Source organism: Homo sapiens, chromosome 5 (genome assembly GCF_000001405.40).
Source record: "Homo sapiens chromosome 5, GRCh38.p14 Primary Assembly".
NCBI lineage: Eukaryota > Metazoa > Chordata > Mammalia > Primates > Hominidae > Homo > Homo sapiens.
Window position 1 is genome coordinate 76,937,424 of NC_000005.10, and position 17,493 is coordinate 76,954,916.

Consider the following 17,493-nt stretch of genomic DNA (forward strand, 5'->3'; position numbering starts at 1 on the left):
TATATTCTTCCCTACCTATTTTATATTTTACAATTCACAAAATGTTGGTAGGCCAGGCACAGTGGCTCATGCCTATAATCCCAGCACTTTGGCAGGTTGAGGTGAGCAGATTGCTTCAGCCCAGGAGTTTAAGATCAGCCTGGACAACATAGTGAGACCTTGTCTCTACCATAAAAAAAAATAGCTGGATGTGGTGGCACACATCTGTGGTCCCAGCTACTCAGGAGGCTGAGACAGGAGGGTTGCTTGAGCCCAGGAGGTCGATGCTGCAGTAAGCCATGATTGCGCAACTGCACTCCAGGCTGGGCAACAATGCAAGACCCTGTCTCAAAAAAAAAAAAAAAAAAGGAGGCAACCTAAGACCTCTTCCTTTCTGTGTGATTTTCTCCCTTTCTTCTTTTCATCCCTATTATGTTTCTGCTGCTCTTTCATTCCCTTTTTCTTTTCTAGAACTTTATAGAGGTCAAGAGTTCAAGATCAGCTGGGCCAACATGGTGAAACCCTGTCTCTACAAAAAATACAAAAATTAGTCATGCACGGCGGTGCATGCCTGTAATTCCAGCTACTCAAGAGTCTGAGGCAAGAGTTTGAACCCAGCAGGCAGAGGTTGCAGTGAGCCGAGATCGCGCCACTGCACTCCAACCTGGGCAACAGTATGAGACTCTGTCTCAAAAAACAAAAAATAAACAAAAAAACAAAAAAAGAAATGAGATTGGTCAAAAAGGTATGACCTAATGGGAATAGACAGGGGACTCAATCAATGCCTGTCTATTCAGATTCTTCTTGGCTTCACTCTTTCCTCCTGGGTATGGGCCAGGACCCTTTGTGGAAAGGTAGTTGCATGACCTACAATCAAACAAAGTAGGTAAGAGAATTTCTTTATGTCCAGTTCTTACTCAAAAAGGCAGGGGAAGGTTAGAGTAGTATTTTATGTTTTATGGCTGGCTTTGGGGATTTTTGGGTTCTGGTTTTTATGAACCACTTTGCAGAAGAGAAATTCTAGTTTCTGTGGCTTGTCTTGAAGAAGAATGAGAGGTGAAAGACAGGAAAGCAGGAGAGAGCCAGAGGAACTTTGCTTTTGAGGCTGCTTCTGAAGCCTTCACTTGGGGGCATCACTTTCTGAGCCCCCACAGTGTCTTCTGATGAACAGAAATGTTTAATGTTAATGAAGTTTAATTTATTAGTTTTTTAATGGTTAGTGCTTTCTGTAACCTAGGAAATCTTTACCTGTCCCAACATTGCAAAGGCATTCCCCTATGTTTCCTTCTACATATTTTATAGTTTTAGTTTTTACGTCTATGTGTGTGACCCATCTCAAATTAATTTTTATGTATGGTGTGAAGTAGAGATCATGTTTTTTTCCCATGTAGATATTAAGTTGTTCCAGGGCCCCATGTTTTTAAACTAATAGAATGTGCCTCTATCCCTTTATTTGCTCATCATGCAAAAAAAATTCTAAACCTAAACCTGAAATTTTGAAATATGCATCCCTGTCTTCATATCTCACTGCCTCCCTATGACATGGCCAGTAACTTTAAGGACCACCTATTATGACAGCTCCCCACCCCAGATAATTACAAATGATATATTTCTTTAGGATCATATTTTCAGATTAGAGAAAAATAGATTTTGAAAGGAAAAACCTTGGCACTATTATTCTTTGACTGCTCTGCTCTTCCAATGTCTAAGATGTAAATAAAATCAACTATTAAGTTTGGGGCTGCAAATTTTTTTTTTTTTTCTTTTAGATACAGAATCTCGCTCTGTCACCCAGGCTGGAGTGCAGTGGCATGATCTCGGCTCACTGCAAGCTCCGCCTCCCGGGTTCATGCCATTCTCCTGCCTCAGCCTCCCGAGTAGCTGGGACTACAGGCGCCCACCACCACGCCTGGCTAATTTTTTGTACTTTTAGTAGAGATGGGGTTTCACTGTGTTAGCCAGGATGGTCTCAATCTCCTGACCTCGTGATCCGCCTGCCTCGGCCTCCCAAAGTGCTGGGATTACAGGCGTGAGCCACTGCGCCTGGCCTGGGGCTGCAAATTTTTATATATCATATAAAGGGTGAAATAGTATGAAACAAAATTGGTGTTTAACTTTTTTTTTTTTTTAATGGAGTTTTGCTCTTGTTGCCCAGGTTGGAGTGCAATGGTGCGATCTTGGCTCACTGCAACCTCTGCCTCCTGAGTTCAAGCAATTCTCCTGCCTCAGCCTCCTGAGTAGCTGGGATTACAGGCACACACCACCACACCCGGCTAATTTTTGTATTTTTAGTAGAGACCAGGTTACACAATGTTGGCTAGGCCGGTCTTGAACTCCTGACCTCAGGTGATCCACTTGCCTCGGCCTCCCAAAGTGCTGGGATTACAGGTGCGAGCCGCCACGCCCAGCCTAATTCATTTTTTCAATGTTTTTAAAATTGGCACGTCTGACTCCTTTAAAAAATCAGGTTTACTGGGCCAGGCGCGGTGGCTCACGCCTGTAATGCCAGCACTTTGGGAGGCTGAGGCGGGCGGATCACGAGGTCAAGAGATCGAGACCATTCTGACCAACATGGTGAAACCCATCTCTACTAAAAATACAAGAATTAGCTGGGCATGGTGGCATATGCCTGTAGTCCCAGCTACTTGGGAGGCTGAGGCAGGAGAATCACTTGAGCCCAGAAGGCGGAGGTTGCAGTGAGCCGAGATCATGCCACTGCACTCTAGCCTGGCAACAGAGCAAGACTCCATCTCAAAAAAAAAAAAAAAAAATCAAATTTACCTAAAACCAAAGGAATAAATTCCAAAAAGAGAAAAAAAGCAACTGTCAAAAAATGCAGAGAAGTCAAGGAACAAAGGACGTGATCAGCAGATGTAAAAATTAGGAGGAACCTAACAGAGAAGGTTTTGCAGCCTGGTGGAGATGGGATCTGGAGCAAAGGAGGCTGAGGAAAATGCAGGGAATAACTATAGGTGAATGTGAATGGAATTAAGTGGCAATTTTTTTCTTTTTTTTTTTTCTTTTTTTTGAGATGGAACCTTGCTTTGTCACCCAGGCTGGAGTGCAGCGGCACGATCTCAACTAAGTGCAACCTCCACCTTCTGGGTTCAAGTGATTCTCCTGCCTCAGCCTCCTGAGTAGCTGGGATTACAGGCATCTGCCACCACACCTAGCTAATTTTTGTATTTTTAGTAGAGAAGGGGTTTCACCATGTTGGCCAGGCTGATCTTGAACTCCTGACCTCAAGTGATCCACCCACCACGGCCTCCCAAAGTGCTGGGATTACAGGCGTGAGCCAACATGCCCAGCCTCATGAACCAATCTCTATGTAATAGTATTAACTAGAGTCCATAGTTTATTCAGATTTCTTTAGTTTCTACCAAATGTTCTTTTTCTGGTCCAGGATCCCATCTAAGATACTCCATTACATTTGCTGGTCGTGTCTCCTTAGGTTCCCCTTGACTAGGACAGTTGCTCAGACTTTTCTTGTTTTTGATGATCTTGACAATTTTGAGAAGTACTGGTCAGGATGCCCCTCTGTTGGAATTTGTCTGTTTTACTCATGATCAGATTGGGTTATGGGTGTGTATTAGTCCATTCTCCAGGGTTCTCTGGAGAACCCTGACTAATACAGTTCTTGCATTGCTGTAAAGAAATATCTGAGACTGGGTAATCTGTAAAGAAAAGAGGTTTAATTGGCTCACCGTTCTGCAGGCTGTACATGCAAGAACAAAAGGAAAGACAGTTTCTTGCATGACTCAACTTTCAGCTTAATTTTTTTCGTTTTGACATAGTGAATTGGGGCGCCAAGATTTTTGTTTTCCTTTTACAATGTCAAAGTGATATGGTTTGTCTGTGTCTCCACCCAAATCTCATCTTGAATTGTCACCCCCATAATCCCCACATGCCCTGGGAGGGACCCGGCAGGAAGTAATTGAATCATGGGGTGAGTTTTTCCCATGCTGTTCTTGTGATAGTGAATAAGTCTCATGAGACCTGATGGTTTTATAAAGGGTGGTTCCCCTACACACGCTCTCTTGCCTGCCGCCATGTAAGAGGTGCCTTTGCTCCCCCTTCACTTTCTGCCATGATTGTGAGGCCTCCCCAGCCATGTAAAACTGTGAGTCCATTAAACCTCTTTTTCTTTATAAATGACCCAGTCTTGGGTATGTACTTATTAGCAGCGTGAGAACAGAGTAGTACACAAGGGTGGATACTACCAATGTGATTCATCACTGTTGATATTGACTGGGATTGAGATAGTGTTTGTCAGGCTTCTCCACTGTAGAGTTACTCCCCACCCACTCCACCCCTCCCTTCCCCCTTCTCATGCTATCCTCTTTGGAGGGAAGTCACTATGTGAAGTGCACTTTTAAGGAGCGGGGAGTTATGCTCCCCCCCCTTGATGGCAGGGAATCCAGATAAAATATTTGGGATTCTTCTGGGCAGGAGACTTGTCTCTTCTCCCCATTTATTAATTTATTCAATCATTTATATTAGTATGGATTTGTAGAAATTTATTTTATTCACTGGTTTATAATCCAATATTACTTTATTTTGTTGCTCAAATTGTTCCATTTTTGGCCATCGAGAGCACTTTCAGTTGGTTCTGGATGTTTACTTTTTAACTCTAAAAGTATTCAGTGTTCTGGTGAGTTTTATACCATGATATTTAAAAACATGAATGGGACCTACCATATAAATATTATTATTTTATTATTATTATTTTGTAGACAGAGTCTTGCTTTGTTGCCTAGGCTGAAGTGCAGTGGTGCGATCTTTGCTCACTGCAACCGCTTCCTGGGTTCAAGCAATTCTTCTGCCTCAGCCTCCTGAGTTGCTGGAACTATAGGCGCCCGCCACCATGCCTGGCTAATTTTTGTATTTTTAGTAGAGACGGGGTTTCACCATGTTGGCCAGTCTGGTCTTGAACTCCTGAACTCAGGTGATCCACCTGCCTCGGCCTCTGAAAGTGCTGGGATTACAGACATGAGCCACCATACCTAGCCCAGTATAGCTATTATATTGGCCAAAAAAAAAAGCAAAAACCTCTATTTCTTTAATATTAAATGACTGTCTTCTCCTAAATGACTTAGAGGAAACTTGTTTGTTTGCACAATAGTAATGATTAGAAATGTTAAAATGTCAGCATTGAAAAAGGAGCAGGGTTTATTGATCTTTCATACATAATTCCAACACCAGCTGGTGAGAGTGTGCTGGGCTCAGGGCTGAGACACTGGGGTGTTTAGTATCAGCTCTTCATCCACTTCCTATGCCCCCATAAGTTGAGCTTGGCACCAGTCAGCTTGTTTTTACAGATGTTGATTCAGTTTAGAAATAGCCATCTGGGCCCAAGGCTATGCCTCACAGATGGTGATTCAGCTCAAGGGTTTCACAGACAAAGGTTGTCATACAGCTGGAGCACTTGGGGACTCCCTAGTTCAGAGCCCCAGAGAATGTAGAAAATTAGAAATGGAAAGGGCCTGTATTAGTTATCTATTCCTGAATAATGCATCACTCCAAAACTTAGTGGCTTAAAACAACAGTCATTTATTATCTCTCGTGGTTCCTATGGGTTAGATATTGTGAAGTATTCAGTGGGGTGGTTCTTTTTTTTATTATTATACTTTAAGTTTTAGGGTACATGTGCACAACGTGCAGGTTTGTTACATATGTATACATGTGCCACAGTGGGGGGGTTCTGTCTTGGGTTCTCTCATGATGGTGCAGTCAGATGGTGGCTGGAACCGGGTCACCTCTAGGGCTTCTTTACTCACACATCTGGTACCCAGACTGTGATGATCAAACATTTGAGGACCGAAACAGCTAGGGCTCCAGGGCATCTCCCTGTATGTGGTCTCTCCATGTGACCTCTCCAGCATAGTGGCTTCCTGGTAGCTGGACTTCTTTCATGGTGGCTCAGGGTACCAAAGGCACATATTGCATGAGAGAGAGAAAACTCCAGGCTGAAGGCATTTTGCTTTTTTTCTAACTTAGCCTAAGAGGTCATATGGAAAGAGAATTAGCCTCTACCTTTTTGTGAGAAGAGTGTCAAAGAATTTGCAGACAAGTTTTAAAACCACGGCAGGACCTTAGAGGCCTGATAGCTCCAGGGCTGGATGTCTTCCTTTGCCCCTCCTGTTCCTGTCTGTGCCCTCCTACCCATTCGGTGCCCAGGAGGCAGAGTGACAGCTCCTCTCTGCTCTTGGTCCTGGGACACTGCATGCTTCCTTGCATTTTTCCTGCACATTGCCCACACCTTTGTAAACAGTCCTTTTATTCAACTCCTCAAATTACCCAATTTGAGACACCATCTGTCTCCTGCAGTGATTCTGATAGTTACTCCCACATCCTTCACCTTAGAGATGAGAATGACCCCATGCTCCCAGCCAGGGGTCCAGGACTTGGGACACCCAATCCAGGGTCCTTTTGTTTCCATTCTATTAGCCAACACATGCAGAAACCAGAATGGGGCCCGAGGCAAAAGGAAAAGTCACTGACACAGTGTATTTATTTAAAACTTTGACATTTTTTTCAGCACGGATTTTTGCATTAATTTTTGTTTTATAACAGATTGCGTTATAATATTATTTATCATGACTGAGTTTTTTTTTTGGCATCCCCTTAACTTTTGTGTCCCTGGGAGTCCCCTACTTGCCTCACCCTATCCCGGCCCCATCCCTCCAGCTTGCTCCCCACCTTGTGCTGCTACCACACTGCAGAGCTGGCTTGGGCTTTTAGAGGCCACCCAGGAATCCTTTCAGCACCTCCTCCTTTTCCTGAGGTTTTACCATTGAACCCTCATTGCCTGGTGGGTGCCACATCTTCGGATGCTGTCAGCAGCATTTGAGTGGTGACGAATCCCTAGTTTGTAACTAGGTGGAAATAAAAGCTCCTTTATTCAATTTTCTGTTAGGCACCTCCCAGGAGTGCCAGGTGTATGTATGCCTGGTGCTCTGGAGGAAGATGGGTGAGATGCATGGTGGAACTTAGAGGCATTTGCATTTAGGGTGGAAAACAGACATATTAAAAGTTAGAATAAAATATGACAAAGGCTCTTCAAGCTATATAAAAAATACTGAGTACACAACTAAATCTGTTGTTTAGAGTTTGTTCAAAGAAGGAAGGAGGGTGGGTAGGAAGGGGTAGGCTGGCAGAGAGGAAGAGCAGGCTGGCTGCTGGCAAGTCCCACCAAGGTGAGGTTAGGAGGCACCACAGATAACTAAACACCGGCTAGCTTGCAGTTTTCTCTTCTGCTGTCCTTATTTAGATCCTCTTCTGTCACTGCACGTAGCTGGCAGACTTTTCTCTTTTAGATCTATTCTAAGGCACTAAGGAATGAGGCTCTTTACACTTCATTTCTCTGCTGTCAGGGAAGAGGCTGATGTTACGTGCCCATGCGTCACCACTATTTAACGACAGACACACCAACGGTTCTGGACCTGGCAGTATTTTTCCCTTTGATGCAGGCAGTGAGGGATGTTAAATGGCATTTCATTATGATCTACTGGCTAGATGTTAGTCATGGCATATTTTAGAGTAAGGCTGAAGGGAGTTGTAGGGAAAAGAAAGAGAGATCAGACAGTTATTGTGCCTATGTAGAAAAGGAAGACATAAGAAACTCCATTTTGACCTGTACTCTGAACAATTGCTTTGCCCTGAGATGCTGTTAATCTGTAACTTTGCCCCAACCTTGAGCTCACAAAAATATGTGTTGTATGGAATCAAGGTTTAAGGGATCTAGGGCTGTGCAGGATGTGCCTTGTTAACAAAATGTTTACAGGCAGTATGTTTGGTAAAAGTCATCGCCATTCTCCATAAACCAGGGGCACAATGCACTGCGGAAAGCTGCAGGGACCTCTGCCCTGGAAAGCCGGGTATTGTCCAAGGTTTCTTCCCGTGTGATAGCCTGAGATATGGCCTCAAGGGATGGGAAAGACCTGACCGTCCCCCAGCCCGACACCCATGAAGGGTCTGTGCTGAGGAGGATTAGCAAAAGAGGAAGGCCTCTTGCAGTTGAGATAAGAGGAAGGTCTCTGTCTCCTGCCTGCCCCTGGGAATGGAATGTCTCGGTATAAAACCTGATTGTACATTTGTTCTATTCTGAGATAGGAGAAAAGCCGCCCTGTGGCGGGAGGCGAGACATGTTGGCAGCAATGCTGCTCTGCAACTCTTTACTCCACTGAGATGTTTGGGTGGAGAGAAGCATAAACCTGGCCTATGTGCACATCCAGGCATAGTACCTTCCCTTGAACTTATTTGTGACACAGATTCCTTTGCTCACATGTTTTCTTGCTGACCTTCTCCCCACTATCACCCTGCTTTCCTACTGCATTCCTCTTGCTGAGACAGTGAAAATAGTAATCAATAAATACTGAGGAAACCCAGAGACCGGTGCCGGTGCTGGTCCTCTGTATGTTAAGTGCCGGTCTCCTGGGCCCGCTGTTCTTTCTCTATACTTTGTCTCTGTGTCTTATTTCTTTTCTCAGTCTCTCATCCCACCCGACGAGAAATACCCACAGGTGTGGAGGGGCAGGCCACCCCTTCAGGAATTGAGGTACTCCAAAGGCCATTGTGCAAACAAGAACAATCCCCAATCTCCTTCACAGTTATCCATCTGCAGGCATCTCGCTTTAGGCTGCACCATCTCATTTTTTTGCTGCTAGTCTAGTCATTTGGTTAATTTCCAAGGCTATTGTCTGTGAAGGATTGACTGCCTGGCTGGACACAGGGATCTCTTTAGTCTGGATTTTGTTTCTGATTCACTGCGATAATCTGGGTAGATAGATCACTTAATCTCTCACCCTTTCCTCCCATTATTACTCTTCAAAAGCCTTCTCGCCAAATCACCACTTTCTTATTCCCAGTGTTCCTGGGCCTTAATAGATGATGTCATTCAACAATCCTTGATATGGGATCAAAATACTACTTCTTTTGGGCAGTTCCTAATTATTTTATTTTCTGTTTCTGCTTTATAACTTCCAGTTCCCCCTTTCTTCAATCTTCTCAATTTCACTACACTCTACATTTCAGCTCTTCTCTCTGATGCAGCTAAACTACTATATTATGGTGCATAATCTTTAATGGGACCCATTCCTAGCTAATCTTTTGAAATGCAGTTCTGTAATTATATTTTAACTTAGTTCCCTCTTTTTCTAACTGTGGCTTTTAAAGTCTGTTAATGTTCTAATATGAAGTCATTCCTTCTAATTTAATAATAATATGAAAAACATATCCTATGCATGCACTCATATAAAACTATTATTATTAGGAGTAAAACCCTAGGGATAAAGACATATAATATGGTTGGTATAATTCAATAACAGCTACCATTTAAATACATTCTCTATGTATTATATATATTATAATATTTGATCCCTACAATAATTCTTAGTATATATCACCATTTCACATGTAAGAAAATTTACAATCAAAGACATTGAATCGAGGTGGGCCTTTGTTTTGTTTTGTTTAACTCTTTTGCGGAAACCTATCATTTTGTGGATTCAGCATCCCTTCTTCTGAAAACTGCTTCTCCCTTCTCTATCCCTATGGCTGCATTGAGAACAGTCCTGTTATGACAACATCCTACCCCCTGGCCTCTGGGCCTCGTCCTACAATTGTGTGAAGCACATTAGTTTATGTTATTTTTATTTGTCTAACAGTAACATGTAAAACTTAGAATTGTTGGTGGCCTGTTTACCAGCACAGGGACTGCAGATGTCAGTAAAGTCAGCTAGCAGACAGAGAGACTGGGGAGTGGCATTCACACTCCTGCCTTTAATCCCCCACGTCCTGGCCCCCCCATGTATTCTGGAAGAAGTCTTCGTGTCCTGATAAAAAATTTCCCTTTTGGCTTACGCTCAAGTTTGTTATCAGTCACTTGCAACCCTGAAAAGTCTGAACTTTTACCAACTGTTGATCATCATTTGGGTTGAAAATAGCTGGCACATTAGAATTTCATTCAAAAGCTGATTTATACTAGTTCCCCAAAGGCTATGTGCTTCGTTTCTTCCTTCCTGATCTCAAACACACATGAAAAATAAATCTTATCTATTAAAAACAGTTGCATTAAAAATAGCTAAATCCTTTTTTTACTGAAATAGAAAAACAATTATAAAATTCGTATGAAACCTAAAAGACCTCAAGTAGCCAAAACATTCTTGAGAAAGAAACAAAGCACGAGGCACCACACTTCCTGATTTCAAAATATATCACAAATCTACAGTAGTTAAAACAATATGGTACAGGCATAAAGACAGACATATAGACCAATTGAGCAGAACAGAGAGCCAGAAATAAATCCACACATATATGGTCAACTCATCTTCAGCAAGGGTGCCAAGAATATACAATGGGGAAAGGATAATCTGTTCAACAAATGGTGTTGGGAAAACTGGATATCCAAGTGCAAAATAATAAAATTGAACCTTTACCTTAAATCTTACACAAAAATCAACTCAAAATGGATTAAAGACTTAAGTGTAAGACCTGAAACTATAAAACTCCTAGAAGAAAACAGGAAAAAGCATCATGACATTGGTCTTGGCAATGATTTAATGGATATGACACCATAAGCACAGGCAACAAAAGCAAAAATAGGCTAGTGGGACTACATCAAACCAAAAAGCTTCTTCTGCAGGCTGGGAGCCGCGGCTCACATCTGTAATCCCAGCAGTTTGGGAGGCCGAGGCAGGTGGATCATTTGAGGTCAGAAGTTCGAAACCATCATGGCCAACAAGGTGACACCCCGTCTCTACTAAAAATACAAAAATTAGCTGGGTGTGGTGGTGCACACCTGTAATCCCAGCTACTGGGGAGGCTGAGGCAGGAGAATTGCTTGAATCTGGGAGGCAGAGGTTGCAGTGTCCTGAGATTATGCCACAGCACTCCAGCCTGGGAAACAGAGTGAGACTCTGTCTCTAAATAAATAAATAAATAAATAAATGCCTTCTGCACAGCAAAGGAAATGATCAACAGGGTGCAAAGGTAACCTACATAATGGGAGAAAATACTTACCAACCATGTATCTGATAAGTGGTTAATATCCAAAATATATAAGAAACTCCTACAACTCAGCAAAAAACCTATTAAGTCATTTTAAAAATGGGCTAAGGACTTGAATAGACATTTCTCCAAAGAAGACATACAAATGGCCAACCAGTATATGAAAAGATGCTCAATATCACCAAGATCAAGAAAATGCAAATCAAATCCACGACGAGACATCACCTCGAAACTGTTCAGATGGCTATCATCAAAAAGATACAAGATGACAAGTGCTGGCAGGGAAAAAAGGAAACCCTGGCCACTGTTAGAGGGAATGGCAATTAGCACAGCCATTATGGAAAACACTATGGACTTTCCTCAAAAAATTAAAATAGAGGAGTATTGTATGAAAGGAGAGAAGGTTAACATTCCCCTTGACAAGAGGAACAGAAAATCAAATACCGTGTGTCCTCAGTTATAAGTGGGAGCTAAATGATGAGAACAAACACATGGACACATAGAGGGAAATGACACATACTGGGGCCTATTGGAAGTTGGAGGGTGGGAGGAGGGAGAGGATCAGGAAAAATAACTGATGGGTACTAGGCTTAATACCTGGGTGAAGAAATGATCTGTACAACAAACCTCCATGACACATGTTTACCTATGTGACAAACCTGCACATGTACTCCTGAAGTTAAAATAAAAGTTTTTAGGCCAGGCACAGTGGCTCACGCCTGTAATCCCAGCACTTTGGGAGGCCAACGTGGGCAGATCACGAGGTCAGGAGATCAAGACCATCCTGGCTAACACGGTGAAACCCCGTCTCTACTAAACATACAAAAAAATTAGCCTGGTGTGGTGGCAGGCGCCTGTAGTACCAGCTACTCGGGAGGCTGAGACAGGAGAATGGCGTGGACCCAGGAGGCAGAGCTTGCAGTGAGCCAAGATCATGCCACTGCACTCCAGCCTGGGCAACACAGCAAGACTCCATCTCAAAAAAAAAATAATGAAAAAATAAAAGTTTTTATAAAAATAGAATGGTAATATGATTCAGCAAGCCCACTTCTGCGTATTTTTCCAAAAGAATTGAAATCAGTATGTTGAAGACATACCTGCATTCCTATGTTCGTTGCACCAGTATTCACAATAGCTAAGATGTGGAAACAACCTAAATGTTGACGAATGAATAAAGAAAATGTGGTATATACATACAATGGAATATTACTCAGTCTGAGAAAAGAGGAAATCCTTGTCATATACTACAGCATGGATGAAACTTGAGGACATTATGCTAAGTGAAAGATGCCAGCCACAAAAGGGCAAATACTGTACGATTACACTTACATGAGCTATCTAAAATAGTGAGACTCGTAGAAGAAGACAGTAGAATGATGGTTGCAGGGATTGGGAGGAGGGTAAAATGGGGAATCGCTAATAATGGGTATAAAGTTTCAGCTATGCAAGATGAATAAGTTCCAGAGATCTGTTGTACAACGTTGTGCCTATAGTTGATAATATTGTGTTGTGCACTTAAATATCTTTTAAGAGAGTAGATCTCGTGTTTTAACTCTTCTTACCACAATAAAATAAAAATAATAGCTACATTCATTCAAACAAATCATCTTGAAAGCAATGGAAAACTATTTGGTGGTTGTTGTTGTTGGCTAACTACAATGAGTTTTATTCAGTAGTCTTTATTTCTTAAAGAACGCAATGATATGTTCTATTTTCTAACATTTCAACTAATCGATTAATCAGGAAAGGAAAAAGGAAGTTCATCTAAAGCATGGATTAGTGATGTTCTAAGTTGACGTGATAAATAAAAGAAAAAATTTATTATCACAGGTCATATTACAACTTCTAACTTGCGTGCATAGGGATTTTGTGGTCACCCTGAAAACATGGCCTATAATGTGACTGTGAAAGCCAAGTGCAGCCTGTGGAGGCTCTGCCATGAAGTGTCAGAAGTTCTCTGTGTGTGTCTCATCAGTCTAGGCACAATTTTAAATTCTGCACCTGCCCCCATGTCCATGGATTGAATATGGATCTGCTATTGTGTGGCCACCCTGGCCTTCAGGCTTAACATAGGTGACAATTTGCTCTGGGGCTTTGTGAAAGAAAAAATGTCTTATTCCTACCTAACAAAAAGAAAGTATTAACCCTGCCTAACAATAGTCGAAGACCCAAAAAACACCTATCCGGGACTGTATAACATCAACACTGGAGAAGCTATCTGGAAAAATATGGAGAAAAACTGAAATATTTGAAAGTAATGGAGGTTAACATACAGGTAATTTCCAATCAGCATACTTGGGGACTCTGAGTTTTCCCAGAACATATTTAAAAAAAAAATCCAGTTTGCTTGAACAAACAACTTTCAAATATTAAGCTAATTGTTTGAATGACCAAAGCAGTCCATGAAAATAATTTATCCTTAGTCTTCACACATAGGCCTACTTATTGCCCAGAAAATTTTTCTTCGGCCTAATCCAAATTACTCTTCCATTTCTCTCACCTATTTTTAATACTTTCTCTCAGAGAGAATGGCTACCTGGCTTCTCCTTGTCTTCCAATTTAATCTTCTTAGTTTTTCTCGATAGCTTGTAGTTTCCATCTTTTAATTACCATTAATTTTTTTTTTTTTAGAAAAGGTAGTTTCCACTGGCTTAGTAGATATTTACCAAACTGGTGAAAACTACACATTAATTTATCCACCTAGAATTTGGTGGGAATGAGGTCCATCTTGTACTATAATTTGTGGATTAAGTAAAATCAGATGCTATGCTATGATGTTTGTAAAATCAGTCACTATGTTAGTGCTCATTCATCCCAGCTCTTGCTGTGTGTGGTTCCTGAGGAGTGGGCATCATGACAGCAGGGTGGGAACATCACTGTTGTCTGTGCACGTGCATGCGTGCATGTGTGTGTGCACATGTGCACATGTGCATATGCTTGTAAAGGGGCTGGCTGGAGAAGAATGTCTCCTTGGTGATGCTAACAAAGCAACATTGAGCTGGAGTGACATCAGGTGCCAGACCCCCTAAGAGGTAAAGGCAGAGGTCTCCAAGGTGGGTGCTGGACTGAATTCTGGGAACAGGCCAAGGGCTGTGGCTACATCAATGGGAAAGAGAAGAGGGCCTGTGGCATGCCTGGTGAGTGGGCCTAAGGCTCCCTCTAGGCACAAAAAGGGTGGGAGATAGAGCTGAAGATGGCCTGGCATGTTTGAGGCCAGCAAGTTGGGGTTAAGTTGTTTGTTTTTCTCCTCTTTTATTCCTCCCAGGTTTCTTTATAACCTTTTCAAAATTCAGGCATCTAAACAGCCCTTGGGATGAGAAGGACATGGTGGCCAGTGTCCATGAGCTTTAGGTACTCTTTTCCCTCTCACTGTCTGTGGTCTGAGGACTGCTTACAAAGTTGGACTGTGGCACGAAGGCCTCCTGATTAAACCAACAAAGAGGCCGCCTCTCCAGAGCTCAGAATTGTCCTGACATGAAAATAATCAAGTTCTGACACTGCCAGGATAATTACTGTTTAATTTCGAGTATTTTAAAACTGAAAATATAGCCATTCCTTCCTTTATAACTCTGTATTATGGTCTATTTGTAATAATTGTAATAACAATGCTTGGTGCAGAGACTGGAAAGGGGTAGGAAAGCCAATAGTGGAGCATCCTCATGTTTCCCACAGTTTTGGACACAAAGAAGAAATTCTCTTCTCTCCTGATAAGCAGAGATAAGCTTATACTTATTTCCGGATCCCTAAGTCATCTTTTTAGCCCTGCAAATTTGCTGGTGAGCAGTTACAATAAAGCTTCCTGGCAGTTCCTTCTACCAGAGTGTTAAAGTAATCCAGGTATTTGAAGGCACGAAATGGAATGACTTAATCTCATCTCTCAGTGGTTCAGATGGATGCGAAGGTCATGGCTACAGCTACCTGGTCTAGGAGTGTGTACATCATGTAAACATCCAGGTCAAGTGACAGAGCTCAGCTAAAATCCAGAAGTCCCCTGACACCAGAGTTAGTTTTCCATGAAAGAAATGCCTATAAGAAACTGGACCAGGATAAAGCAAAGAGTAAGGGGCAGGAAGAAAGCTTATAATTGCATTACTGCAATCTTCTGCAAAATCAGACTTCTGCTTCTGTTCCACCTCTTTAAAGCTGAAAATGCCTCAAGTTTCTTACTGAGAGACATGAGAAATTCCATGAATACTAAATTCTTTGACAATTTCTAGCATGGTTTCATCCAAGGTTATGTGATGAGGCTGCATAATATAGGCTCTATATGTTTGGGTATTTTATGCGTGTATGTAACTTTGTCACTTTGATTTGCAAAATGGAAAATTCCCTGAATGCCCACAGAAAAGTATAATGTAGCATTTAGCAGGTCAACAAAATGCACTCCCTTATTCTTTGTCTCCGCCTCATTCTCCAACACTTTAGTGCACTAAGTTGTAGTGACTGAAATCATTCTTGGTGAATAATGCTGGGCCACGCTGAAAATTTGTGGCTGAGAGCTGGACCCTCGTCATCGCCACGTACTCTGTCAATGAGACAGGGTAACCCATGGTTACTGAGCTCCGATCAGTTAAGGGGCAGAGAGCCTCCGCTCCCCACTGCTCTATAAAAGAGACCCAGCAAAGGGACCCTACCAGCTTCTAGCTCTCAGTCTGCGCGAGGGTGTAGGAAGGAAAGCCCAGGACCTCCGGAGCAGAGCACAGCAGCTGCAGAGGCAAGGCCAGCATGTCGCCCAACTTCAAACTTCAGTGTCACTTCATTCTCATCTTCCTGACGGCTCTAAGAGGGGAAAGCCGGTACCTAGAGGTGAGCCACCCCTGGACTGACCCATCTCACCTTCCTTGCGTGTTAGCCCTAGGCGGCAGGCAGGCTGCCTCTGCTCGCAGCCTTTTGGGGTTCGCTGTTTCTTCCCTCTCTGCTGGATGCTGTCTTGCCCCTGGTTTCCCCTATCCTGTTCTCCCTCCTTGCCTCTGAGCATCCCAGACTGCCTGCCTGCCTTCCTCTGGCCGCTGGGGATACCCTGGCCTGATGGAGAGGGTCTAAGACCTTCCCGTCTTCTCCGGACACGGGAAAACATTACCCCTCTCTCTTTATTCGCTATGCTGAGTGGCAGGGAGGGTGCCCCGCTCCTGGTCCCCTTTTTTATCCCCAGCCCTTGAACTTTTCCGGACTGACCTATGTTTCTTGCCAGCTGAGGGAAGCGGCGGACTACGATCCTTTCCTGCTCTTCAGCGCCAACCTGAAGCGGGAGCTGGCTGGGGAGCAGCCGTACCGCCGCGCTCTGCGTGAGTCGAGGCTGCCCGGCTCGCGGGCGCCCGGGACGCGGGGAAGGTGGGACTCTGTGCGGGGGGCAGAGGGCTCGCGGACATCTCGGGGAAGGGGCTGGCCGGAACCGCCAGGGGCGCGGTCCCCTTAGCTAAGGATCGGTCCGCGGAGGCGCGCCAGGAGCGGGAGAGGGTGGCGCGCCCGGGGCGCAGGAACCCAGCGCAGCCTAGGCTGGAAGTCGGGGCGCTGGGCACTACAGAGCCCGGGAATGGGGCGCGCGGAGAGCGGCCGCCCGAGGACGGCGCTGCGGCGGCTGCAGCCCGGGACTTATTGCCCCATGCCCTCCTCCCCCAGGGTGCCTGGACATGCTGAGCCTCCAGGGCCAGTTCACCTTCACCGCCGACCGGCCGCAGCTGCACTGCGCAGCCTTCTTCATCAGCGAGCCCGAGGAGTTCATTACCATCCACTACGACCAGGTCTCCATCGACTGTCAGGGCGGCGACTTCCTGAAGGTGAGGCGCCCACGGCCAGCCAACCTAGCCGGAGGGCGGCACGGGAGGGTTGGAAAGGGCTGGGGCGCTGCACCCAGCGTGGGGCTGCTGAGCGTAGGTAGCCAGTGGCACTTCTTAGACACTTCGCTGGTGCCCGAGTCGGAGAGGCGCGTTCGAGGACCCCCACACGGCGAGAATCTCGCCCTTACCCGAAGACCTCGACCCACACACATCCAGTGGGGCTGGGGCCGGTGCCTCTGGACGCTGCCATGGTTTAAATTCCCTTCTGGGCGCTTTCGAGGCCCTAGGAACTTCTAAAGACTTGAACTCGCAGCGCGGAACTCTGACGCAATCCAGGGCCGAGGAAAAATGATTAAAACCCAACAAGCTCGAGTGCTGGGGTCCACCAAGCGGGCCGTCTTGGTTAGAAGGCCCGCCCCACACGTCTCACATCTGAGCCCGCCTCGCTCCTGCTGGTCCACGCTCGGCAGAGCCGTTCCGAGAGCACAGAGGCTGTCTTCAGTGCGCGGGTGACCCGATTTTGGAGCAGTAGGGGACTGGCTGCCGAGGGGGCATCTAGATTGAGATAGGTGGGAGGGCAGGACAAGACCCCTAAGCTCACTGCCTCCTCGATTCCAGTCGTCAGACTCCATAAGTATAACAGGGCAGCATGGGATGGCTGATGGAGCTCTACTGTCCAATTAAAATAATCATGATTAACATCTCCAAAGTAGGATTATTTTGGAACCTG

At 44.4% G+C, this 17,493-nt stretch overlaps 2 protein-coding genes and 1 pseudogene across 4 annotated transcripts in view, besides 1 other annotated feature; all 3 read left to right on the forward strand.

Annotated features, from left to right (window-relative positions):
• The window catches only part of S100Z (S100 calcium binding protein Z), a 102,940-nt gene extending 87,410 nt beyond the window's left edge, over positions 1-15,530 (forward strand). The window contains exon 5 of the mRNA XM_011543241.3: positions 15,412-15,530. The gene's annotated coding sequence lies outside the window, so the exon portion shown is untranslated. The remainder of the gene's footprint in view (positions 1-15,411) is intronic.
• Positions 11,368-11,447, forward strand: RNU6ATAC36P (RNA, U6atac small nuclear 36, pseudogene; annotated as a pseudogene).
• A 91-nt stretch (positions 15,531-15,621) lies between the features above and the next one.
• Positions 15,622-17,493, forward strand: part of CRHBP (corticotropin releasing hormone binding protein) — a 28,115-nt gene continuing 26,243 nt past the window's right edge. For 2 of the 3 annotated variants that reach the window (XR_948235.4, NM_001882.4), the window contains exons 1-3: positions 15,622-15,792; positions 16,178-16,271; positions 16,606-16,763. Coding sequence is in view for 2 of the 3 variants with exons in the window: in NM_001882.4 (NP_001873.2) it covers positions 15,712-15,792; positions 16,178-16,271; positions 16,606-16,763 (333 nt within the window). In the remaining variant the exon portion in view is untranslated. Of the gene's footprint in view, positions 15,793-16,177; positions 16,318-16,605; positions 16,764-17,493 lie in introns of those variants that run through there. The other variant, XM_047416736.1, reaches the window with a different exon arrangement.
• Positions 16,348-17,034: an enhancer, noted in NCBI's record as "H3K4me1 hESC enhancer chr5:76249596-76250282 (GRCh37/hg19 assembly coordinates)". NCBI's record gives its function as "activates a minimal SCP1, AML or CMV promoter by ChIP-STARR-seq in naive H9 embryonic stem cells {active_cell/tissue: H9 hESC(naive)}" and the evidence as "EXISTENCE:reporter gene assay evidence [ECO:0000049][PMID:30033119]".